At 42.7% G+C, this 26413-nt stretch overlaps 1 protein-coding gene and 1 long non-coding RNA gene across 5 annotated transcripts in view; both read right to left on the reverse strand.

Moving 5' to 3' along the window:
• TOX3 (TOX high mobility group box family member 3) overlaps positions 1 to 5839 on the reverse strand; it is a 111387-nt gene extending 105548 nt beyond the window's left edge. For 3 of the 4 annotated variants that reach the window (XM_005255892.4, XM_047433909.1, NM_001080430.4), the window contains exon 1: positions 4674 to 5180. In XM_005255892.4, the coding sequence (XP_005255949.1) occupies positions 4674 to 4760 (87 nt within the window). In that variant the 5' untranslated portion in view covers positions 4761 to 5180. Of the gene's footprint in view, positions 1 to 4673; positions 5181 to 5750 lie in introns of those variants that run through there. The other variant, NM_001146188.2, reaches the window with a different exon arrangement.
• Positions 10124 to 26413, reverse strand: part of CASC16 (cancer susceptibility 16) — a 54889-nt gene continuing 38599 nt past the window's right edge. The window contains exons 3-4 of the long non-coding RNA NR_033920.1: positions 20851 to 20899; positions 10124 to 10471 (exon numbers count right to left, since the gene is read on the reverse strand). This is a non-coding gene — a long non-coding RNA (cancer susceptibility 16). The remainder of the gene's footprint in view (positions 10472 to 20850; positions 20900 to 26413) is intronic.

Below are 26413 nucleotides of genomic sequence, written 5' to 3' on the forward strand. Positions count from 1 at the left end.
ACAAAATTACAACTAATAGATGTGAAGCTAAATATTTACAAAATGTAAACTAAGTCAACGGATCCATATCAACTCAGATATGGTATCATATCACATTAGATTAAATGCAGGATGTGGATGCATTTTAATGTTTGATGGGGCATGGAAGGGAGCTCAGATCAATAGTGCTTAGAGCTGCCAAGGTTCTAAAAAGGCCCTGGGTACCAACCTGAAGCCAACCATTCTGTGGTAAGTCTGGTCTTCACAGGTGTCACAAATTTCTTTACGCAGCTCTACTCCATTCTATTGAACTGTCTACATAGTTGGACATGGGAGCAGAACTGTCCACATAGTTGCATGTAAACCATAAATGACTTATTAAAAAGTTATGTTTGGATCCTCATCTACATATGAATTTAAGACAAGAAGTACAAGAATCAGCACACAAGCAAGTTTTGAGGGTCCCACATAATGATTTTAATTATTTTTTGTTAATTTATTCCAACATTTAAAATTCATGATAATTCACATAAAAACCCAGATTATCATCCTCTTGAAAAAAGAATTGTAAAGTATAGAGATATTGGACCCAAATGTTGGCATGGCAACACTCTACTAATGCTGACGAAGGCTATCCCTTTAAATGGGGTATGTTCTCTACTTGGCCGCAAACCCTGTCTCCATGTAGGCTAACTTGCTGTCCCAAGAGACAATTGAGTTTATGCCCCCTAGTTTAAGGCTCTTAGGAAAACCTTATTTCTTTTTCACAATGTGGCTTCAATATCTTACGTGAAGACCTGTCGTGATAGGATACAGGAATCTCTCAATCTAAGAAGAGTTTCAATCAAATTCCCCCCAATATGTTCTCAATTTGAACCATGATCCCCAAGAAGATTGACAAATGACAAATTACCCTGCAGTTTCTTTTGCCCTTCAAGCTAGCCAAGGCAGAAGCCCAATCAGGTGGAGTCAAAGCACTAATATAAGAATGTCTTAATTAATCAAAGTGATCAATAAATAATACACATAATAATTAGAAAGCAAAGTCTGGGACTGATAGAATAAAAACAACATAGCACTAATCTAAGTAAGGGTGAGAGGTCAATAGCCATAATTCAAAAGGAAAAGCCCTAAAAATATGCAGAAATAGCTAGTAACTGGAGTTTAGTCCAAGTTTGTTAACAACCCACTGTATGATTTCACCTCACACCCACATTAAACACAGTATCTTATTTTGGGATGGCAGAATTCTGACAACTACAGGTTGAGTATCCCTTATCTGAAATGCTTAGATCTAGAAGTTTCAGATTTAGGGGTTCTTTGGATTTTGGAATATTTGCATTATACTTACCAGTTCAGCATCCCTAATCCAAAAATCTGAAATCCGAAATGTTCCAATGAGCATTTCCTTTGACTGTCACATCAGTGCTCTAAAAAGTTTTGGATTTTGGAGTATGTTGGATTTCAGATTAGTGCTAAATTATATTTGCTAATTGATATTCTGTGTATTGTTTTCTTACTGGTGAAAAGACAAATTGAACTCAGGAAAGAAAAATTACAAATATATAGTCAAAGAGTCACCAGATCATTTGAGCAACATAATGAGTTTTTATTTCTTAATATACAGGGTTTAATTTGTTAACCACACCAGAAAAAGAAATGTTCAAACAGTCGACTTTCTACTTGAAATTAAAATGGAAATTAGCCCTTAGGAAACAGTGATGACTTTAAGTTTATACATCAGTGGCTGGTTCATGAATTATTAACTGATTTTAATGATCCTGGCTATATTTTATTTGAAGTTATTCTCCTACTTGCAACGACTTTTGAACCCACAAAACTCTTTCATCCATTCTCCACAGACACAGTACACTTTCATGAGCACTGACATTTGAAAAGGATCCATATACTCACAGAATGTAAAGATAATACACATGCATATAATTGATACAAAGGACTCTGGTCATTTGTTAAAGAGAGTAATGAATGAAACCCTATTATTCACGGTTTGTAAATAAATTTAAAGATAAGCGCTAACTTTCACTTGTTAAGCCTAGAGCCAAGAGTTCGGTGTTTCTTCTAAAGTTTCCCAGATGGTCATTAAAACAAGAGAGGGAAGAAACATACTTTCTTTGAAATCCATCATTTCCCATCCAGAAAGATAATACATGTCATCAAAAGTTAAGTCTTTAGAGATTAATTAATAATGTGAGTATTTTCAAATAAAATAAATGCATGTCTTTATATGCTAGTTTTTACATTTTCAGTATAAACCTATATTGAACAGCACCACTTCAGACACACAAATTAGCTGTGAAACAAAATGCTATAAACCTTTAATTAGCACTTGCTGCTTTATACCCATAAAGTTAATACTTCCTCTTCTACTATATTCTCTGTAAAGGAAAATTATGGGAAATAAAATTGTGTTTTTCACTTCCGAAAATAAAAGTAGCAAAATATAGTATTGTGGCTCAGTTTAAAGATAGTTATATTTTTACTTGCAAGGAAGTCAATACAAAGATCCCTTACAATAAGTATAATTTGATTCCTACCAATATTAAGCGCTATGTCTAACTTTCATAACTTGGGTACACAGAGCACTGATGACGATCAGATTGCTAAATAAGTAAGAAAGCAAGTTATTTCAGGCAAATAGCTGCATTAAGAAAATACGACAGTAAGCCAACTTGTATCCACACTCCTGAAGCTGAACAAGCATCTCAATAAATAATGTCTGTTTTCAAGCTTTATATACCCTCCCTGAAATAAATGTTCTGAGCTTAAATAGACTCAAAATAGCCTTTCTCAGAAAATAAAAAAGAGACACACACAAAACACCCCCAATTTCCTCTGGTCCCTTGAAGTACCCTTGGGATCCCAGTGAACAGAGATTTGCCACGCATTGCAGTGACTGCATTTGTACAATAGGTTTCTATTTTGGTGTCATTCGAGTGTTGCAGATCTTAAATCAGAGAAAGAAGGAGTTACATTAGGCAAGGTAATGGCTTCCAAAAATAAGAGCATGCCCAGTTTATACAAGGCTTGCATCCACATGCTAAGTTGTAAGGAGATAAATAATACCCCACTGGAACAATTAGGTAGATTCTCAGAAACACTACATACTTAATTAGGCTGCCTAAGTCCCTTACTGAGCATACATGGGGGACTTTTTAAAGCATTTAATAACCTGAGTAAATCCAAAATCAGAGGACACAAACTAATCCTTAACTCTGGCTCCAGCGATCGGCCTTTTCTTGCCTCTCTATAAATGCTTAGCGTAGCCCTTAGAATTCGGAGAGCAGGAACGCTCCAACCACCAAAGGGTTAAAGCACACGGAATAAAGTCCCCTCGATCTATATTTTTTGGGAGGCCCCTCTGTGCCAGACGCTGAGCTGGGCGATGATGACACGCGAGGGCGAGCAAGAGAGACCCTAATGGTCTTTTACAAACTTCAGCACTAGAGTTGGGAACGCAGTATAAACAAATAGAAAGGAACACGAGCCTCCATCAGCCACGGGGCACAGCAAACTGTTCCTCACTCTAGATGCAATTCCTCCTCTTCCTGTTATTTATTCATTAGTTTTGTTTAGCACCTTTCTTTCAGCAGGCTCCTTATTTCCTCCTGTTATCCAAGCAATCACAAACAAACTACGATTTGAAAGAAAAAGAGAGGGAGGAGGGAGGAGCAGGAGGAAGGGGAAAGAAAACCACATTCAAAAGGCACAGGCCATTCAGAGCCCGGCTGTTTCTCTGAATCTCGCCCTCAGGGTGATGTTTTCGACAAATTCGGCGCTGGGGGCTTCAGGGAGGACAGAGGACACCGGATGGTGGGGGGGAATTCCGCGCGGCCCGGGTACCAGGGCTGCGACTCTCGCCCGCCTCGCTGCTCCGAGCGACGCCCGCTGCCCTTCTGAGGTCCACCTCGCCACCTGGAACGCTCGGTCCTCGAAGTTGGCGCAGGGGGAGGTGGAGAAGGTGGAGTGACCCCAGGGTGTGGTGTGGAGGTCTCCAATCCCGATCTCCCCGAAATGCAAAACTTAGCCCCCCCAAAAAAATGAGAGGAAAGAAGCCACTTACTCTAAGCGGGGAGGGGCGGGCACCCCGGTTCCGAGGTCCAAAGTGCCCTAACGAAAGGGCAGCAAAGGCCACCTGCGGGGTCCCACCACTTCCCCCCACTCCCCTGTCCAGGCATACTCAAAAGTTTGTTCCTTTCCGTCCGTAAGCGGCCCCGAGGCCGGCTCTGGAGTAGGTGGGGGAGGTAAGAAGGACTGGGGGTGGGGGAGGGCAAGATCATCGGACCAGGAGATCAGGGACCCCTGCGTAGCCCCCACTCAGTCCAGGGGGGCTGCGATCGTGTTTACTAATAACAGCAACAAACAATCACACGCCAGCCCTTCTTTCAGTCCTCGGGCTCTCTTCGCTTTTTGGGGGCAGCAAAGGAGAGTCTGGCGGGGAGGTGGGAGGGAGCGGAGGGGCTGAGGAGAGCGCCGGCTGGGGGACAAAAAGCGGCGTGGGATGGGGCAGAAAGAGAAGCGGGGAGAGCTGGACAGAGACGAAGGCTCAAAGGTAGAAGAGACATGGGAGGAAAGAGGCCAAAGAAAAGTGCAGCAGGCGGTGAGCCCGAGCGCGGGGCGCGCCCAGGATGGGGAGGTGGCCCCCGCCCCCCGGCCCACCGGCCCAGCCCGGTCACCTTGCTGTAGCCGTAGTACCCCAGGCACTGCGCGAAGTCCAGGCTGGCAGGGTCCCCGGCCGCCGCGGGGTAGAACCTCACATCCATGCCGAAGCTGGGCCCGGGGCCGGGGGCCGGGACTGGGGTTCGCCGGGGCCGGGACCCGCCTCCTCGCCGCCGCTAGATCCACCGTCGAGGGCGCCCGGGGGTGGCGCGTGGGACTCGCGGCCGGAGGGGCGCCGGGACCCAGAGCCCGAGGAGCTCGGGAGCCGCGGCCGCCGCACACAAAGGCGCGGCCACGCGAGCCGCGGGAGAGCGGGAGGCGGCCGGGGGGACGCGCCCCGCCGGGGCACCGAGGCAGCGCTGCGCGCGGGCCGGGCGCCGGGGGCGCGGGGCGCGGCGCTGGGGCCCGGGTCGGCGAGGCGAGTTCAGGTGCGCTGGGCGAGGCTGGGACGGCGGCGGCGGCGGCGGCTGGCCCCGCTCCTCCTCCTCCTCCCCGGGCGGACTGAGGAGACGAGCCGCGGAGACAAGGGGCCCGGCCCCTCCCCTCCTTCTCCCCCTCCTGCCTCAGCCGCCGGTCCCCTCCCCGCGCCGCCGCCGCTCCGCCCCTCCCACCGCGGGCAGCTGGCGCGCCGCCCGCCCCGCCGGTGCGCTCCTCGGCCCGGACCGCCTCCGGGAGCGCCCACCCCGCCCCGCCGGCCCCATCACCCCCGCCGCGGCCGCCCCCTCTCCGGGGCCCCTCTTCTCCCTACCTCGCCCCCCTTCCCGCTCCGGTCCTCTTTGTCCCCACTGCCTCGGAGCGCTCCTCTCTCCCCTCCTTTCCTCGGCCGAAGCGGACGCCAGCCCTGCGTCCCGTGTGTCCCACCCTCCTCCTGCGCGACCACAGCTTCCCCGGGCCCCAGCATCCCCAAGCCGTCTGCTCCCTTCCTGTCGCTTTCCTCCCCATGACCCCCTTCCTTCTTCATGGGTGCCTGTCCCCGGGCCCCTCTCCTCGACCCCGCCTTGCCTTTCGAATGTCCCCTGCGTGGACACACCTAACCCAGACGCCAACCTGCACGAGTGTCTCCCGGTAGCCGGGAGCCGGGACCCCAAGTTCACCTGTAGGATTTCCCAGAAGGGGTGTTGGGGCCTGACCTTTCACAGGTAGGCAGACTTGAAGCTTCCCAGGTGAAGCCTCGTGTCGGTTCTCTTCGTATTCTCTTTGCTCTTGTTTGTATTCGAAAGGCATTTGAGTAACTGGATCTAGGCAGATCATTCACTGCTCTGGGAGAGAAAATGTCCCTATTTTCCTAAAAGGTCCTAGCTGATTAACTTCCCCACTCTACACTCACCCACCCCTCTTTATTTCTTTATCTTTCTTAAGCTCCATCTTTTTATTTAATTTTTTTTCTCATCGGCTTTATTGCTTTGAGTTAATCTGAGAGTTTGGCCTTCAGCCTTGGCGAAGGGAAGGGGCTTTATACTAAATGGGAACGTTGTGGAGAGGCCGTGAGATCTGCGCCCTCCCCAGTTTAGTTATCTGCCAGCTACTTTAACCAGAGTGGCGACATTCTGAAATATTTCCTATGACACTCGCTAACAGTTTCATCCCCTGGTCACACCTTGCTGGCCCAGGGCCTGAGCTTTTTCAGACAAGCATGACATGGGTTTTCTTTTCATTTCTTCTGTTCTCCAGAGTAGATCGGGCTTGTGACACCTGTGTGTGTACCTTCACTCAATATTATCTTTCTGGAACGGAGCAGAAAAAAATAAACTTCAATTAGGTGAAAGTTTGTGTATTTGCTCTTCTCTTAGCAAAAACTTGGGTCAGGAGACTACTGCATGAGAGAGCAGTGTGTGTTGAGAAAAGAAACAACTGCCCACGTTGTCCCTGGGTTGACTCTGATCCCCACCCTCCCGAAAAAGCTTTGGTTTCCCCTCCCTAGTCTCCATTTAACGTTGACAACCCAGCGGTGCTCCCTAATGGCCCAGCAGGTTGCACAAATTGACAGTGAGCTGAGATATTATCAGGACAACACCCCATTGAGCAAGTTCTTGAAACGCAGAAGTGGAGGCCCTTTCTCTGGGCCACTGGGCGCCTGTGGCCTTTCCACCAATCAGAGCTGGAGGTTGCAGTGGCCACCTGTTGTCTCGCAAGAGAACATCTTTTAAGTTTCGCTATTAGTATTTAACAATGGCCTACAGAGCAGGATCTGGCCACAGGAGAGGAGCAGTGTGATGATCTGGGGTACCAAAAAAGAATTTTTTAAAAAAAAAATTTTACAGATAGCTCTTACAAGGAGCCAAAACTCTGGAAAGCTAAGTTTTTCTTTGCACACTCACAATCCTCACCTTCTGCTCATTCTGTTTTGCATCTGAAGCAATCTGAGCTTGATTAAAGGATGAAGAAAAGTATAATCAAAGTTACAGAGACTAAACCTGAACTTGTAATCAGACTTCGAGGATCAGGAATATAAATACGCTTCGCAGTGGAAACCCGCTAGCTGCAAGAATGGGAATTGCAAGTGGGCTGATGTACTGCATTCAGCTTTGGGCGGTAGAGCCTAGAAAATGAAGCGAGAACTTTACCCCTAAGGCTCTCAGGAGTTAGGAATGCTCGGTGACAATCCCTAACTCCTGGCCATTGTTTTGGAAAAGTCTTTCTCTTAAATTTCCCTTCCCTGTTAGGATGCAAATACCTTTGTGAAGGGAACAATACTCATCTGTCTGCATTTTATTATTTGATTTAGGATATAAGGTAAGCAAAAGATCTGAGTTTAGATTTTGATTTAGAGGGAGGGGAAGAATCCGGGTGATGAGCTGAAGATGTGTATGTTGAGGCATTTAGAATGAGAAAATCACTGGAACAGAAAAAGGGCATTGGTGAAGGCTGCTGACTTGACGATTTAGCCCAATCTCCACGCATTTGGCAGCTATCTTTATTTATTGTTTTTTTTTTTTTTTTTTTTTTGAGTACCTACCATGTGCCAGACATGATTTTAGGCACTTGTGAATGAGAAAGAGGATTCAATTCCCGACATGACACATATAGAAGTCCTCAAAGAGGACTATGATTTTGGCTCTTGGAACACAAAATACACACGAACTCACATGCACACGTGTATACATGCCCTGAACCATCCCAGTCACCTGGAGATACTGTCATGGCACAGCCACTAGCTGCTGTTGAGAGAAGCGACATGAAAAACAAACTCACATACAGTGTGAAGGATGCCAGCTTCTACACCCCCATGGTATTTGTATAAGAAGGCTCAAGGGATGAGGCAGTGCATCCCTTGCTACATCATTGCTGGATCCCAAGAACCTCAGACCATGCTTGATACATAGTTTGTTTGCAGGAAATAAATATTCATTAAAGAAAGAAAGTTTAGAAAGAACATGGGAAGGAAGAAGGAAAAAAACACAGAATGTTTTAATAGTGTAATTTATTTGCAGGGAACCTTAAGGCAGGATTTGAGAAGAGTATATCCAGGACCTCTGATGTGAATTAGAACAATCTACTTTGGGTGGGGTGGGGGCCTTTTGCACCCTGCTGTTGTAGACCCTTCGCAGACATAAAAACTAAGATCCTATGTGGTTTCCTTTAGAACTGATCTGATTACACTCTCCATTGCTTTCGCACTATCATCTAATTTTAAGAGTTCCAGTGGTTTTGAAGACTATCCATTAAAAACTTTAGAATAATGCTTTAAAAAATTAAATGCAATTGTAACTGTCATGGTATTTGTTATCTTAAGGGTGTCACTATTTTCAGTCTGTCAGCAGTCTTGTTTCTGAAAGCCATAGACAAAGGTTTCCTTTATACTGGATTAGCCTTGAATTTGAAGAACCTTCTCCAAGAACATATCTTAAATATGCTTTGAATTTATGCTGAACAATGCTAACAGTTATTGATTTAGAAGGGCAGCAGAAGAATCAATTCTGCAGCCAAAATACAACTTCTGGGCATAAGAAAATTCCTTTAGGGTTTTGAGATGATTCGGATCAAAACTGTCCATCTTATTATAATGCTTGATGTTTCTAATTAAATAGTTGATGTCATCCAAGAATCCCTTAAAAATGGGGAGAAAATACACAAACTTTACATTGTGGGAAAACTACCTTACATCTTGACGGAACCTGAAAACTTTCTCTACTTTATCTGGTTTCAAATTATGCAAGAAAGTCCCCATGAGGACTTCATTAAACCTGCCAGAGTTTTATAACCAAAAACCTCACTGGAACCCCCACTTTTACGAATCTATGAAAGTAATTTAACCCCTCTGTGTTCTGCTTGCCCAAGATCAGATGCAAATACTATTAAACAGTATATACAGTTTAATTCTCTTGAGTTTTGGTGATGAAAAATCCTATCCAAATATTATGATCCTTGCAATACGTAATGTAACCAAATTAACGATAGCTCCAGGTGGAAATTAACAAGGCCAGGGCTACTCACGTTTCCTCTCATCTATTCCCATAGTAACAGCTAATGTATTATATTGCTAAAATATCTTATATTCAGTTTTATGTCTGAACTTGGTGTTGTGTCATAAAGCGTAGCATTCCTATCCAGACTGGATTCTTAATATGTGTATCCTCATGAAATTTAGGAGAGTTTCGTGTCTGCAAATCAACACTTCATGTGCATAGTCTAAACCACATGCAGATAAAAGCAAGTCAGAACCTACCAAGACTCTCACCATAGTGAACCTACACATGGTATAGAGGAAGAATTCTTACCTGGGAGACCTGATGACACATTACCAGTGCAGGACCTAAAGCGAATCACCATAGAGAGATCCACACAGGAATTATAGTGTGAAAAAAAATCCCCAATCATAGACATTGTTAGCTTCAGTTTTCAGTGAATCTAAACTCTTCTAGTATGAAAATGTGAGCTATTTTGATATTTTTACTTTGGTCAAAAAAACACAGAAATCCAAAAAATACAGAAATCTGGGAAATGGGATAAAAATAAGCAAACTTTTCCTTCATGATAATAAATATATATTCAGTTGTGTACATGAGGTTGTTTCCCATACTACTACAATTTTAGTCCTATTGGTCTCTGTATTACCAGGCACAAGAAGGGCTCTAGAAAACTAATCATTTTGTCAGTTGACTATTACTTTTACAAAGAATAGATAACACCCATAGGTTCTGACAGATACATAGTAATTATGGAACAGTCACCTCCAACACCCTGGTAGCAAAAAACTATTAAGCCAAGAATTCATTACCACAAATATGGAATGCAGCAAGTATTTGCTTGTGACCTAAGTAGCTCTTCAATAAAGATATTTTAGAAACCAAAACACTCCACACAATCAGGAGGTGTGCAATTTTCACTGTATTTACACTCTGCCTTAAAAAAAAATTTGTATGTTGTCCTGCCTGTTTTCTGAAATATATTCTATTTCTTTTAAAGTGAAAGAATGACCTCTTTTGCAGGAACGATTTTCAGAGACAGCGTGTTTATCAAATGGTTTCTCTGCTTTCATAAAAACAATTTATTTTCACTGAACTCTTCACGATAAGCATCAAAGCCAGGAAGAATGTACAATGAAGTTTACAATTTCACTCCAGAAACAAATACTGGGTAGTTATTATTTTGCTTAAGTGAAAAACATTTTTTTTCCCCAAGGAGACAAAGGTAGTAATGGGGGAGGGGGTTTATACAGGAGTGAAAATCAGGAAGTCCAGACAGTCTTCAGCAGGAGGGGCCCCTGGTGTTGTCCACAAAGACCACCGGCTGAACAATGAAAGCTGAAGACCCAGTACTTTCTTCGCAAATGGGTGGGGGTCAGTCCACAGTTTTATTCTTCGCTAAGAGACAGCTATAGAGGCATTAAGGAGAGAAAATCATTAGGCAGATATAATTAAACCCTTCTATGACAGATCTATATACCATTGCACATAGATATCTCTCATAGTTGGTGCTTTGGATGACAATCCTTTCTTTGATAAACATCCATGTTTCTAGGCTTAATTTATATGACATGTTATTTTTTAATAACCATAGAACAATAAAATTGTAAAAATAACCAAGAAAAGAACTGAGTCTAATAAAGATTCTGTTTCTTAAGAAATGGGAAACAATTGCATTTGATCACAGAACAGCCAAGGACTAGCAGCAAAATAATCTCTCCTAATTTACATAGATCTGTGCGTGCCAAACAGATGAGTGTTTGCTTTTCGAGTAATAGTGCAGGTGCGTATCCTGCAGTGACTAAATCTCTAACTCATCAAACTGTTTCGCCAGAATGGGACATGCCCTCTTTTTCTGGAACAGTTTCAAGTTTTCTCCCCAGCATTCCAGCCACCTGTTTATGGAGTTCATCCTCGGGAGAAGATGCATGCAATTAGAAACAAGAAAATGAAAATAAATGACCTTGTTTGTTATTTATAACAAAGAAACTCTGCAAAATTAATGCTGTGAAGCTTGACCTCCTGACCCAGGAAAAAGAGCCACCTCATGGCTTTGTGGCCAATGGACAATAGTCTGGCAGCTCCCATTGTCCAGCCACCCTGACTTTTGGATGGTCATTAAAGCCACATATCCAAAATATTAAATGTTTTACAAGTTAGATTAGAGGATTTGCACTTTTTAAAATGCGTGTTTTAAAAACTGAGGTTAGTTAGCACAAGAGATTTTCTTTTTAAGGACAGCAGGTAAAAATCATTTAGCTTCATCTACTCCATCTATCCTGTGTCAACAACATGTTGAAGGAAAGGAAAAGATTTAAAAATTCTGAACTAGTGCTTTGGGAATTGAAGAATGGTTAAATATATAATAGAAATCAAATAGAAAGGTGGTCTTTGAAAGTGGTTCAGGGAAAACATTGTGTTTCCTCCCTGCTGAGGCCTCAGGGAGGAAAGGGGGAATTACAATGTTCTGTTACATAAATGCAGTGTGGATGGTGCCCCCTAGAGTTGTGCGATGAAATAGCATTGCTGTTTTTCCTTCCACCTCTTATCCCAACCCACACATCTAGAAGCCCAGGGCAGGAAGGAAATGAAGGTGGTAATGGAGTTTTGAAGACTCTTCAGAACTGGTGCTTGGGTGGAACATCTTGAGGTAGGATGGCGACTGAAAATGACACTCTCTGGTGTGGCTGATTCTGAAGCTGGCCTCTCCTACTGCATCTTGCCTCTTTCCCCATTTGGTCTCCTCCTTCATTCACCCACAACAAATTCCATGAGTGTCCTCTATTAGTCTAAACCTTAGAGTAAAATCCGTGTTTGATTTTTTTCCATCCAAGTTGCTTATTTATTGGCCAATCTGCCCAGTGCTACTACATCTTTAATTGTTTTATTTTTCCCCAGGAGGAAGTAACTGTTTATTCAAGAAGGTTCTCTACTGTTCCTCAAAATGTCTTCTTCACTGTGAAATAAAGTCAGTTTCATAAGGCATGCAGATTGTCATGCAAACACCACCCTGAGCATTCTAGATCATACCTCCTCACCTTCCCTTTTCTTTCTGATCCCCTGAGGGTAGCTCATTATATGCCCCTCCCTACCCCTTCTTGGGAATGCTGCAGCCATAAATCTGGAGAGGTCATTAGAATTACGAACTCTGGTTGGTGTCTCACATACCTACAACAGCAACAACAACAACACAATTATAGCCACTGTAGAGCCAATGTCCTGGTTAATGTTTGTGTAACTGGCCAATTCTCAGGCCCAGAGAAAGGAGTTTAAGAAAGTTTTTGCATCTCACCAGTCTAAAACTTCTTCTGCAGTCCAAAACCACATTTCAACTATTGTTTAACTGAAAGACTGAGCCCTCTTAATCTGGAACCACCAACTAAATTCCCCCTGTGTGCTTAAACACCAAGTTAGAGAGCTGTGTTCAGTGCCAGTGAGAAAAAGTAGAGTGTGATTACCCCATCTTACCCACAGCTGAAACCTGTGTCATTTATTTTTCAACAAATGCTGACTGTGCCTTTCTAACTATATGCTCCTACGTTTCCAGAAATGGGAAAAAGCATGATCCCTGTTTATACTAAACATGACAAGACATGAGGAAAGTAGTATAATAATGAAATATTGTAATGAGTGCCATAGGAAAAGCATTCTTAGGCTAGTGTAGTCAACAAACATTTATTTACAGAAATTGTTACAGGTAATATGTTAGTGTGCTGCTTAGAAAAGGCGGGGATCATTTATGATCAGGATAATCAGAGGAAACTTCATGGAGAAGGCATTTGAAAGTAGATAGCATTTTGGTGAGGCAAAAGGGATGAAAAAATACACTAGTGGAGGGAGATTTTGAACACAGTTATTAGAGAGAAAATATTCCATGTGTGGTGGGAATTTTGGGTTGCATCAGCCATTTGTTGGGTAGATTAAGCTTCAGTAACAAATAACCTTTAATATCTTAGTGGGTTACCAGCACAGAGGACTATTTCTCAGCCCCGTTCCAGTCCACCACCCATCAGCTGCTGTTCATTTGCACATCTTCATCTCAGGACCAAAGCTGAAAAAGAAGCTTCTATCTGGGGCATGTGGGTCTTGTAGCAGAGGAAAAAGAGAGAGTGGAAACCCGCTACAGTTGTCAAAGCTGCTCACCTCATTCCCGCTCACTTTTCACTGGGCAAAGCAAATCAGATGGCCAAGCCCCATGTCAATGGGGCAGAAAGTATGATCCTCCCGGAGGGACTGGTCTGGCAAAGAGTAAGGAGGAGTCCCCTATTTTGCAATAATGTAGTCGGTGCCATGGAAAGAGTGTTTTAGAGACCTACCAAAAGTTTCAGGCAGCAAGCAAAATTGTTTAGTAAAAGGAGTGAGTGAGTGTTGAGGGGAAGAGTTTGGTGAGATAAGATGCCGGGAAGTGATAGGGGGAAGGAGACAGGCTGGGAAGTGAAACATTATAAAGTATTGAAGGCTGGGCAGCTGAGTTAGATTCGATGCAAAAGGATGTATGATGGCATGAAAAAACGCAGCTGTGAGTTCTGATCTAAAGTTTGTTTTGACCCATATAGAGCAGACTCATTTAACATTTAATTAGTTTATACTGTGTGTCAGTTGTGGTGGCAGGTAGACATTTGCATAGATCTATATTTTAAATTTTGATCCTCATGACACCTCTCTGGGTTAGATAAGTATTATTCTCTTTGTTAAGCTGAAGGAGGCTCACCAAGGTTGAATGACTTGCTTAAGGACACAAAAGCAGCACACAGAACTGTGATGCAAAGTGAGGTCTTTCTACTGCATCACTGCAGGGCAAAGAAATTAAAATGTCACCTTTCTTTAGTATTGACTTGTTATTCTTTATCTTCTCCTTAAATACACAGTCTGAAAGCAAGGTTAATATGATGCTTTTTCTCATATTAATTAAAATGATGTTTATATAACTAATCCTTGCATAGTACAACTTCATAAGTGAATAAAAAAGAGACAGATCTTTAACTGAGGTATTTATTATAAAATTTCGTGGCAGAGACAGTTACTTCTAACCAAATACAGAATGCTCTCCACTATGTATTTCCCAGTTTTTCCTGCTGTTAGGTGAGGAGCAGCTGAGGCAATAAAGAATTGGTGTGCTTCCTCCATATCTTTCTTGACCTGCTGTGGTGTCCTTGGAAGACACATGCACCAGATGGAAGAAGACAATTCATGCCTCAGAATTCACATGAGCGAAACCATGTCTTGATGGTATTGCACTACAAGATATCCAGTGTCTATTTGTTACAGCAGCATAGCCCAACCTATCCTGATTAATACAGATCCTTCTGACTTTAATTGATACAAGGAAAGTGACCATATCTGTCTTGCACATCCTCTTATCCCTACTGCTGAATACAGGACCTCCCACATAATATATGCTCAATAAAGTTTGATTAGTGGAAAATGAATGAATCTCAAATTGAGTCTGGCCTCTGTCTACTATTTGGTTAAACCACTTATTTACTGCTTTTAGAAACCAGTGGTTGATCAATCTTTTTGATATATCATTTCATCAGATCACTCCTCAGATTAAGACTTTATTATATATTTAATCAATTTTAAACTCCTTCCTTTGACATTCAAGGTCCCCATAATCTCACCTAGATTCCTACAACTTTACCAATTTATTGCTCTAATCCAATCTAACCTATCACTACTGGCCTGTGACCCCTGGTCACTATATTCACTGTTCTAGGGACAAACATTTAGTGTTCTTAAGCAAATCATTTCAAGTCTCTGAGCCTCAGTTTCTCATTCTGTAAAGTTGTTATTTGTAGCAAAAGACATAATGCATACAAAAGTTTAAGTTATGCAGCATTATGAAAATCCAAATTTATTTTGTACTTGTTGTTGGTATATATTAAATAAATTGATAGATCAGAGGAGTGACATTAAAAAATGTGTTGCCATTTCAGTAGCACATTTGTCAAAATCTCCCATGACAATCTTGCATGGAATTGCTGTCTAGGGAGAAATGGTAAAGGAAACCAGGGAGACCCTGTTGGTTATCTACTCCAAATTCATTCCCTCTTTTTTTTCTTAACTCTACCTCTATTTTATTTAAGTTCTGCCCTTCTCCTTGGGACCATATTTATCTAGGGAGGATCCTTTACAATGGCCCTATTTTCACTGCCAATGATTACTGTAGTCATGAACTCTGATGCGTTTCTGGTTGATAAGTTGTGGAAAAGAGTGTAAGAGGGCTTCTAAGAAGGGTTTCTGTGCTTTTAAAAAGAAACACTCAGAAAATATATAATAATTTCTTCTTCTGGACAGTGTCATGTCTCGAAATGTTGCAGCCAGCTCATCAGCATGAAAGGATCTCTAGCCCGAGGTCAGAGCTGACACGCTGAGATGAGAATGGAGGGGCAGAAACACGGAAAGAACATAGATCCTTGATGATGTCAGGAGTCACTGATTAACTAACCCTGGAGCTCCTTCTGTCCTGATTTCTAGTTATGTGAAATAACTCATAATCTTATCTTTTGATCTAATTGAGTCCTAGTTTTCTGTTACGTGCAATGGAAAGCAGTGAAACCCTCTTAGACTGAGTCCATTAGGGTACCCGTAACAAAATACTATAGGCTGGGTGGCTTTCATAACAGAAATTCATATTCTCATGGTTATGAAGGCTGGAAGTCCCAGATCAAGGTGCAGCAGGTTTAGATTCTCTTGAAGCCTCTCTCCTTGGCTTGCGGATGGCCACCTTCTTGCTGTGTCCTCACATGGCCCTCCCTCTGTGAGTGCACATCTCTGGTGTCTCTTCCTCTCTCATAAAGTCACAAGGCAGATTTGATTAGGGCCCACCCTAAGGGCCTCATTTTAACCTAACCACCTCTTTAAAGGCTCTGTCTCCAAATACAGTCACATTCTGAGGTACTGGGGGTTAGAGCTTTGAAATATGAATTTTTTTTTTCTTTTATTTTTTTTTTGAGATGGAGTCTCACTCTGTCGCCTAGGCTGGAGTCCAGCAGTGTGATCTTGGCTCACTGCAACCTCCGCCTCCTGTGTTTAAGTGATTCTCCTGCCTCAGCCTCCCGAGTAGCTGGGATTACAGGCACATGCCACCACACCCGGCTAATTTTTGTATTTTTAGTAGAGATGGGTTTCACCATGTTGGTCAGGCTGGTCTCGAACTCTTGACCTCAAGTGATCCGCCCACCTCGGCCTCCCAAAGTGCTGGGATTACAGGCGTGAGCCACCGCACCTGGCCCAAATATGAATTTTGTGGGGGACACAGTTCAGCCTATAACATTTGCTCAAGCCAAAAAAAGGAGTTTAAAATTTCAGAAAAAAGCCTCACAGACTCCAAGTGCACTTTATCAAAGTCAGACATCCAGAGAACTGGGAAGCCAATAGGCAGCTAATCTCTTCATGTTTTTCCCTCTTCATGGCTTCAATTTTACATTTCTCTCAGCATGCATGCTTTGGTTTTTTCTTTCTCCTCACCCTTCTGCTTATACAAAGCTCATCATGAGTGCCCGATGATGGGCTTCAGCCCCTAAGTCACATGACCCTTATGTTTGGCTACCCCTAGCTAGCAAACTCAGGCTCCATGCCTCTTTGTGAAATTCTTGAGATAGAGAATCTGATTGGCCCAGTTTGTATCAAGTGTTTATCCTTGATCCAATAGGCTGTGGCCAGGGGCATGGGTCAGGCGGTACACAAGGGCTGCCTCTTGTGATCTGTGGCTAAGTTAGCTCACCCAGAGGACTTGAATGGGAATAAATTCCTTAGCAGCTCTAGTGGAAGAGGGTAATGTGGATAAAATTATAGTGTAGTCAAGTGGATTTGAAGCAGATGAAACAGTCATACACAAAGGTGTTGATTCATTACTGACAGGCTGTAAGAAGTCTTTAGTAAAGTCCCACTTTATCTTGCCCTCGGTTCTGATTTTTTTTTTAATGTTCCCAATATTTTAATAAACAGATTAGGACATAGAAAATATACCTACGAATTTTTAGTTGACAAAATGATGGAAACATTTGTTAAGATAGTTAGAAATGAGATTCAGACTCAAAATCATCTTAAAGGGCTAGAAATCTGTGTAGAATCAATAAGATAAAAATTAGCTCACATAAATATTAACTTCCAAATTTGGATTTCAGTGCTCACTTGCAAAGTGATGGAATGGAGTTTTCAAAATGAACTCTTAAATAAATTATAGCACTCTGTGGATATGTGTCTCTCTTTCCAAGAAGGAAGTCCTTTTTAATTAGTCGCATGCTAAAGTTAGTTTGGCTAAGTAAATGTTTTCCTAGGGTTGGGAGATTTCTATAATTTCAGTTTCCCTTTTGTTTGCAGATCAAGTAGTTTAAATGACCCAGTAAATAATTTGGAGTCACCACAGTTAACTCACCAACCTTGAAAATCCCTGAACCAAGAGGCCCCTTGATACTGTAAGGGAGGGCTACCATAATTAATAGCATAAGTCTAACCAGGGTACCATACCTTTCCCTATATTGCTGGATATTCTGTAAGTTTGGCTTTCCCAAATTAGGACACAGAGATAAGGATAAACTCACTTTCCAGCTATTTCGTTATGCCTTTTTTATTTCTTTCAACTTTTGGAAATGACCTTATGAATTTCCTCTTATTATGAAATATATCTTTATTGAAAACTGGAGTCCAAACATTACAAAAAATACATAGCATAGGAAGTGAAATGAAATACTGCATAACCAATGTAAATGATTAGGTGACTCCTCTTTCAGATTACATTCCTGAGCATTTTCTAACAAATTATCAATATTTTTATTTTAATGAATATAGAATCACACCCTACTTATTCTTTTGTAATTTGCTTTTCCCATGTAATAATATGGCCTGCAGGCTGTAATGATAGACTTGTTTTTTGCAGAACAATCCATTAGCCAAGGGCAACTAGAAAAGCCAGACAAAATATTCGATTGATTTGGTTTGAAGGCGTGAGAGAGCTACCATGTCTGCAAGGACTTGAGGGGCTAAGATTTTTGAGAAAAGGGAAGTACAAGGAGTGTGCTCGACATTCAGTCTGCTTTCTTCTCAAGGTCTTTAGCTGATTCACAAGTAGTGGCTGAGAGCAGAGAAGCTGAGCTAAGCTTCTGGTAGTCTTATCATACTGAAGGGAAAAATTAGAATTCAGAGCCCTAAAAGGAAAAGAGTCCGTGATAAGCATCCCAAGGTTTTTGTTGACGTCCACCAAGGGCTATACCCTAGAACATAGGAGTGAACCAGAAATAGACCAACCCTCACAAAGAACAAAGTCTAGCTTTGATTAAACATTATCCGTGATTGGATTAGGTGATCTGCCTCTATGCTAACAGTTTACTAAAAATAAAAATGAATCTTCCTTGAAAGAAAATAAAATTACCAAGAGGCTCAAATTATCTTAATCTTATATACACATCTGGCATCTAATTTCAAACTACCAGTCATTTAAGGAGACAAGACCACATGACTGAAGAAATAGATGAGAGGGGCGGACCCTAAGAGTGTCGGGATATTGGAGTTGCTAGACATTGACTTTAAAATAACTGTGATTACATGGTCATTCTCCACTCACATTACTCAAGAGATACTTAGTACATGGACTTAGCACATGAGCTGTGTATGTAATAGTCCCTCAACAAATATTTAATGATATGAACTGATAATCCAAAATAATGGTACTAATATATTTGCAATTTTAACCTAAGTAATATATGGGCAATTGGGGTTTCTGAACACCCTATTAAGTCTTACTGTCTGAGGGCTCCATTAAATCACCTCAGGTTCCTTGAGATGATTTAATGGAGCCCACAGACACTAAATTACATGGAGAAAGTCACTCTTTTCTATTTTTTTTAAGAGAAGGTTCTCACTCTGTTGTCCAGGCTGTAGTGCAGTAGTGCAATCATAGCTCACTGCAGCCTCAAACTCCTGGGCTCAAGTGATCCTCCTGCCTCAGCCTCTTGAGTAGCTGGGACTACAGGCATGCATCATCATATCTAACTAAGTTTCTAACAAAAATTTTGTAAAGACAGGGTCTCACTATGTTGCCCAAGCTAGTCTTAAACTCCTGGCCTCAAGTGATCCTCTTACCTCCCAAAGTGCTAGAATTATAGGTGTGAGATACCTGGCCCCTTTTCTGTTTCCTTTTAGTCCTTCTGATTATGCCATAGAGGGAGTCTCAGCTTGGTGCTGACGTGTCTTTTATACCATCCTAATGCTATTTGATTTTTTTTTTTTTTAACAGAGAAAGATCTCAAGCTTCTCAGTCAATGTCTTGGTATCTCTACTCTGGTGTTCTTAAGGAAAATGCTATGGGCTCCTTTGGACATCTGGTAAAGTCTATGAACCCTATATCAAAATAATGCTTGTAAATTCTTACAATAAAATACCTAGTATTACAAAGTAAAGAATATGTTGAAATACAGTTCCATCCACCATCCTTTTGCCACTACAGTTTGTGATTGTTGTATTTATTTTCATGGTTACTTTCTACTTATGGAAAGTGCAATTGGTTTCTGTTTATAGTCATGACATACAATTTGCATTTTAAATACATTTGTTTAAATTAAAGAGGGAAGATGAATTAAGGAAATAAGTAAAAGTAGGAAATATGACAAAGCTAAAAGTGGTGTGCTGTGATTGAGTGACGAATGCAGACTTAACCCAAGAGATGACTTTATTAATGGGAATTTCAGGCACCCTTTCACATTGGGGACTGTACTAAACCAGGCTTGACACAAGCCTCACTTGTCCATCAGTCAATGTCCATTGATTGAGCAGCCCCACCAAGTACCAGACACTGTTCCAGGTGTGAGGGCAGGGCATTGAGCAAGGCAATTTATTCTCAAGGTGTTTACATTGTAGGGAAAGGATATAGACAAGAGGCAGGCCAAAACATTCAATTAAAAGGTAACTTCAGATACTGATTTTTGTCCTGAAGGGCAAAAGGGTGACTAGCAGGGTGACTAGAGAGGGAGTGACTTGGGGTAGGTGTAGGACAGTAGCAGTGGGGTTTGTGGCTTGGCCCAGGGCTGCATTAGAAAAAGACCAGGCTCCCACTGCAGCAGTGCCCGGAAAAATGCAGAGACGAGCCAGGATTTCTGGATCATTACCATGAGGAAGGGAATAAATGTGTGTTCTCTTTCAGTTGCTCCTCTTGACACCTGGGTAAATGGCTGTTTACACAGGCAGATCACCCAGCCGCTCCCTCAAAGGTAAACAGCTGCTTTCTGCCTCCCCTGCTAGCACAGATTGGGGCCCTGAAACAGTGTGTACCCAGGCAAAAGAGGAGGTATTCTCCATTTAGGTTTCCATTCATTCATTCAGGCAAGATTTCTTGAGTGCCTCCTAAAATGCAGGCACCAAGGTAGGTACTGGGAACACAGTAAGGAACAATAAAGAGGTCCCTCCTCCCCCACCTCTCTCTCCTCTCCACTTAGAATCCAAGCTAGAGGTGTGCCTCAGAGTCTCAGGCCACTCCTCTCATGATACAGATGGAAATATCAGAATCAGAAGAGGCAAAGTGACTTGCCCAAGACCCGGAGCTAGCCCACTTCAAGCAAGTCAGGTCTCAAAACGGTGCCAGCTGCTTTCATTGCCTACTACCTGACTTGCTCAATCTTGGTCAGTATTTGGATTGGCACTTTTTAGTGTATTCTCCATTACTAGACTATTATGGCTTAGGGAAGGAGAAACCAGAGGTCCATCCTACAAGCACACTGAAATGTAATCCAATTCTAAGTCCCCGTATTACAACATGGACTATTGTGACTGACCACATTTGCCTTATATTTACCTTCTTCCGCAGGGATATGCCCGATTTCAGTTTCCCATGTTGAAATAGCCTACAGTTGAGACAAACATACATTACATTTAAGCATACCTTCCATTTTTTATAAGGTACTATATTTTTAATTGTTTCAATCACTGTGAAATTAACAAATGTTCATGAGCACCCACTGTGGGAGCTCACAGTGTGGGAGTTCCGCCCTGGTGGAGGTACTGGGATTTAATGATAAACCAAAGACAAATATATGCTCAATCTGGTCTCTGCCCTCATATCTAGTCTGGGAGGTAAGCATTTGTCAAATAATCGCACATATATGATTGTGTATGTATGTATAAAACTAAACGCTGTCAGTTGTTTAATTTAAAAAGGTCAAAAAGAAGTTTGCTTTGAAGAATGAGATCAAGGAATAAAAATTAGTCAGTTAAAAAAAATTACATATATAAACATAAATTTACCACCATAATAGATACTTGTTTTAGTGCAGGTCCTCCGTGATGCACACTAAGACAGGAATAAACAGGTAAGGGATTTATTGGGGAAAATGCCTGTGAGTGAAAATTGGAGGTCAAGCACGATGGCTCATGCATATAATCCCAGCACTTTGGGAGGCCGAGGTAGGTAGGCTGCTTGAGCCCAGGAGTTCAAAATGAGCCTGGGAAACACAGCAAAACCCCATCTCTACAAAAAAACATACAAAAATTAGCCAGCTATGGTGCCGCATGCCTGTCATCCCACCTACTGGGAGGCTGAGGTGGGAGAATCACTTGAGCCAGGGAGTTCCAGGCTACAGTGAGTCTTGATCACGCCACTGTGCTCCAGCCTGGGCAACAGACCGAGACCGTGTCTCAAAAAAATAAATAAATAAAATAAAATAAATGAAAAGAAAAAGTAAAAGAAAATGGTGGGGGAGGCTGGAGAAGGCCAGGAAAGCCATCAGACTGGGAAGTAGTTCTGTGAAGAGGAGAGAGGAGGATGGATGGTCTTAGATTCAGTGTCATCCTAAGGAAGTTCTGGCAAGGCCACATTTGCCCATCAGAAGAGTCCCCCTTTCTCAAGGATGGAACTGGCTTAGTTTTCCTGCTGGGCTTAGCTACAAGCTGGGAACAGCCATTGGGAAGTGTGGTCTCTGCAGACATGTGGTGATGGATTTGGAGTACAGCAGCTGGGGCTGTCCATCAGTAAGGGATCTAAGAATTACATGCTCATGGCCACTGCAATGCTAAAATAGAGCAAAACACAATAAAAACAAGATAAATTAGAGGGACATGATCTGGTCTGGGACAAGGAAGATTGTTTCAGAAAATAGTCTCTGTCTTACATTCACAAGGGAAAAGAGCAATGTTCCAGAAAGAGTGGCGAGTGCAAAGGCCCTGTGGCAGAAGGCAGCATGGGATGTTCAAGAAACTGAAAGAAGGCCAGAGCAGCCTAATGGAAATAATATAGGAGAGAGTGGAATGGGAGGCTGAGAGGTGAGCATTGCTGGGGACCCCTACAAGGCCTTTAAGGAGAGGACATTGTTTTAAACACACATCTAAAACTCACTACTTACATGACAGACATAGGGCAGAGGGTGGAGTACTAGGCGTGTGCCTGGGTTTCCAGGTGGCTGAACTGTAGCATGACTGGCGGGACTGAAGGAGTGGAGAGGCTAAGGTCTTGATGTCACCTACTTTTGTTAGGATTAGAACAGGGGTCACAAACTGTTGGACCCCATGGCAAATGTAATTTTCTTTTTCAATTTTTTATTTTTTGAGACAGTCTCACTCTGTCACACAGGCTAGAGTGCAGTGGCATGATCTCAGCTCGCGGCAGCCTCAAACTCCCTGGCTCAAGCCATGCTCCCCCACCTCAGCCTCCTGAGTAGCTGGGACTACAGGCACATGCCACTCCACCCGGCTAATTTTTTTTCTTTTTCTTTTTTGTAGAGATGGGGTCTCACCTTGTTGTTCAGGTTGATCTCGAATTCTTGGGCTCAAGCAGTCCTCCCATCTAGGCTTCCCAAAATGCTGGGATTACAGACATGAGCCACTGCACCCAGCCACAAAGATAACCTAAAGATGTGTTTACTTTGACCCAGGCAGTAGTTTAAAAAAGTTTTAATTTGTTGTTCACATTTAAAAACTGGACAATTTCTACATAAAAATCTGAATTACTCATGTCTCTTAAAAAAATAACATCTAGCAATGGTAGGCCCACATTCCTTCCTGAAAATAATTAGCTGGGAAAGAGTAGGGACTGACCCCTTTAGACACGGTATAAATAGCATGGGAGTTGATCAGTAAATATTTGCTGAATGAAAGAATACATGAATGAAAAGTCAGAGCCCTATAGGTCAGCATGGACGGCGGTAAAGGAACCTGGCTGAGCCTGAAAGAGAATGTGATCTAAGATTAAATCCAGGATATGCTGGTAAATGTTTAACAGCCAACTCTTTGGGGAGGAAAAAAGTCCCAATTTGTAGTGTTTGCCGATTATTGTGATGTAAATACTCCCATCATGACCAATTTCAAGCTACCAACATGCTGACACTGAACTTGGAGTTGGAAGGAGATGAACAGGCATAATCAGGTCTCGTGAGATGGCCCAAGCCGGCCCCAGCACTCCACTGTTATATATGAGGCTAGAATTACTACATAACTGGAATAGCAACTTTCTGGACCATATGCCTGGAACACAGCAGGTGCTGAATAAATGTTTGTTGATCCAGGAACTGACTGTGTTGAAGCCCACAGATGGGAAATCAGTAGAAGGCAGGTAAGAGTAAAAAGAAGGGCAGAGAATTGGGGGTACAGACCCCTGAACCATAAGTCAGAGGAATGTTGTACATGTTTTCAGATCCCTCACTGGTCAAATGAAGGCAAAGGGTTAGATCTCTCCAAATCTTTAGAGGGACATGATGTAACTCCATTAAGTAACTCAGTGATTTTCAACATTAAAAAGTGTAATTATCTTTTCAAACTAAATATTACAAATAAATTCTGATAAAAGGAAATGTACGTCTGTTGAGACCCCTGATCCTATAACTGGTTTAGTATTCCCTGAAGCCACTTGTAGTAGCCTATTCACATGGGGACTCCCCAGTGAACATTTCCTCATATCCACACTCTTGTGAAGGTCCTTCACCTTGAATCTGGACTGGGCCTATGGCCTGATTTGATGCATAGAATGCACAGATGAGAATAGGTGGGTTTCTGGCATAAGCTCAAAGAAGGCACAGTGGCTTCCAGAGCCCTGAGCTACTAGTAAGAAAGTCCAGCTACCCTGCTGGGAAGGCCATGGAGAGAGGCCATGGGGAGCTCATAGAGAAAGAGAGGGACCCTGAGACTACATGGAGCTAGGAAGAACAACACCCAGCCATCCCAGTGTCCCAGCTGAGCCCCACTCCAAACCCATCTGCCAACTGAGCACATCTACAAGAGTAACCACTGACAGGCCAGCACAAGCCCAGCCAAGTCCAGTTCAAATTGCAGATTGTAAGCAAATAAAGCAGTTGATGTTTTAAGGTTTTTAGATGATCTTAGAGTTTAGATTATGTTAAGTATGTGAGATCCCTAAATAGCCATCAATAAAAAAATTGATCAGTACAATGGAGAACTGCACAACTATTAAAAGAAGAAGGCAAATCCATGTTTACCGACATGAAAGAAAATCACCAAGATTTACCCTAACATGACAAAGCAAGATTCAGAAGAATCTGTAGGGTATAGTACGGGATTTGCCATTGCATGAAAAAGGGAAGGTAAGTATTTGTGCATGCGTGCATGTGCATTTGTGTGTGTGTGTGTGTGTGTGTGACTATAAATTTGTAAATGCATAGAAGATTTCTGGAAAGATACATAAGACATTAGAACAGACTGGAAGACTTGAAGAAGAGGGGAGATTGTGTATCCTTTTGTACATATTTTCATTGTGTATCCTTTTGTACATATTTTTACCTTATTTGCAGGTATCACTTATTCAAATCATAGAAATAACATTTTAACAAAAAAGTGAGGCCTGCTTATATAATGTTGAAGACAACTAGCTACCACACTATGGGAACACACTATTATATTAAACTTGATGATTCGAGTTTTGCCTAAATTTTACTCAGAATCGAATACAAGAATAGAGGAAAGAATTTAAAACCCATCTGGCTAATGCATACCCTTGCCAACTATTCTATTAGAAAGGAAGATGGCAGTGGGGAGGGGGTTCTTACAATGGAAAAGGTATTGGCTTCCCTAGTGCCTGAGGTCGGGTTCTCCAAGAAGCAAATTCAGAGTGAAGGATTTTAATGAGAGTAATCTATGTGGGAAGTGGTCCCAAGAAGCACCAAAACAGAAGTGGGGAAAGGACACAGAGAAGGAAAGGAAGTCACTGAAGGGACTGTGAGTTACCTTTGTGGGCAACTGGGGTTTCGTCCCACTGGGGACCTCTGGGAGACACTGTAGGACATGTTTCAGGGTGTCCCATCCTAAGTGGGAGGAATCTGGAGAATTTATACTCTGCTCCCAGGGGCATCAATTCTCCAGTGTTTCCAGTCAGCTCTGCTTGCTGGCTGAGATACCAGAGCAAGTGCTGGTCTGGGGAAGTTGTCAGCGTGTAGAGGAGGTGAGTACTGAGCAGATACAGGCAGGGCACTGTCAGTGCATTTGCTTACCTAGACAGCAAAGCCAGAGACAAAAGCTCGTGTGCTTATGTGGCAGGAGAGAGAGAGCGAACCATGCAGGGAAGTGCATTACTTTATGATTTTTTTTTTTTTTGAGATGGAGTTTTGCTCTTGTTGACCAGGCTGGAGTGCAGTGGTGCTATATCAGTTCACTGCAACGTCTCCCTCCCAGTTTCAAGCAATTCTCCTGCCCTCAGCCTCCCAGGTAGCTGGGATTACAGGCGCTCATCACCAAGCCTGGCTATTTTTTTTTTTTTTGTATTTTTTAGTGGAGATGGAGTTTTGCCATGTTGGCCAGGCTGGTCTCAAACTCCTGACCTCAGGTGATCCACCTGCCTCAGCCTCCCAAAGTGCTGGGATTACAGGCGTGAGCCACCGTGCCCAGCCAACAAGTTGATTTTTTAGTTTTATCAGATGTTTTCTAGGAGACCATAGGAAGCTACTTTGTCTACACATTACGCCTCTGTAAAAGAGGAAGGAAGAAATTTCCAGGGGACTTCGGCTCCTCTGCACTTCTGCATTGTCCATGTAAAGGTGCTTATTGAGTATGGATTGTGGTGTCTTGCACCTTGGTGGCAGCAGGAAAGTCCCGGGGCAGGAAGTGAGTGGTACATAATGCAGGAGAGGGGAGAGGAGGTGCCTGATAACCCTGAGAGTCTGGGAGCTGCTGCCCCAGTGAGCTCCTCCATCTGTAACACTGGCGGAAACTGTAGTAAGCAGGCTTTACAACAGTGGGAAACATGCATGCCGATGTCAGGGCCTCCCATCCAAAAGCAAGGCCAGGATGGATCCAGGGTGGTGAATAAATGAAACCTAATCCAGAACCTAACAAAGGAGACTGCGCCAAGGCTAAGAGGAGTGCCCTGACAGTTCACAGCATCTTAGAGCACATTGCACCACATTATGCTATTTCACCAA

This window comes from Homo sapiens, chromosome 16 (genome assembly GCF_000001405.40).
Source record: "Homo sapiens chromosome 16, GRCh38.p14 Primary Assembly".
Taxonomy (NCBI): Eukaryota; Metazoa; Chordata; class Mammalia; order Primates; family Hominidae; genus Homo; species Homo sapiens.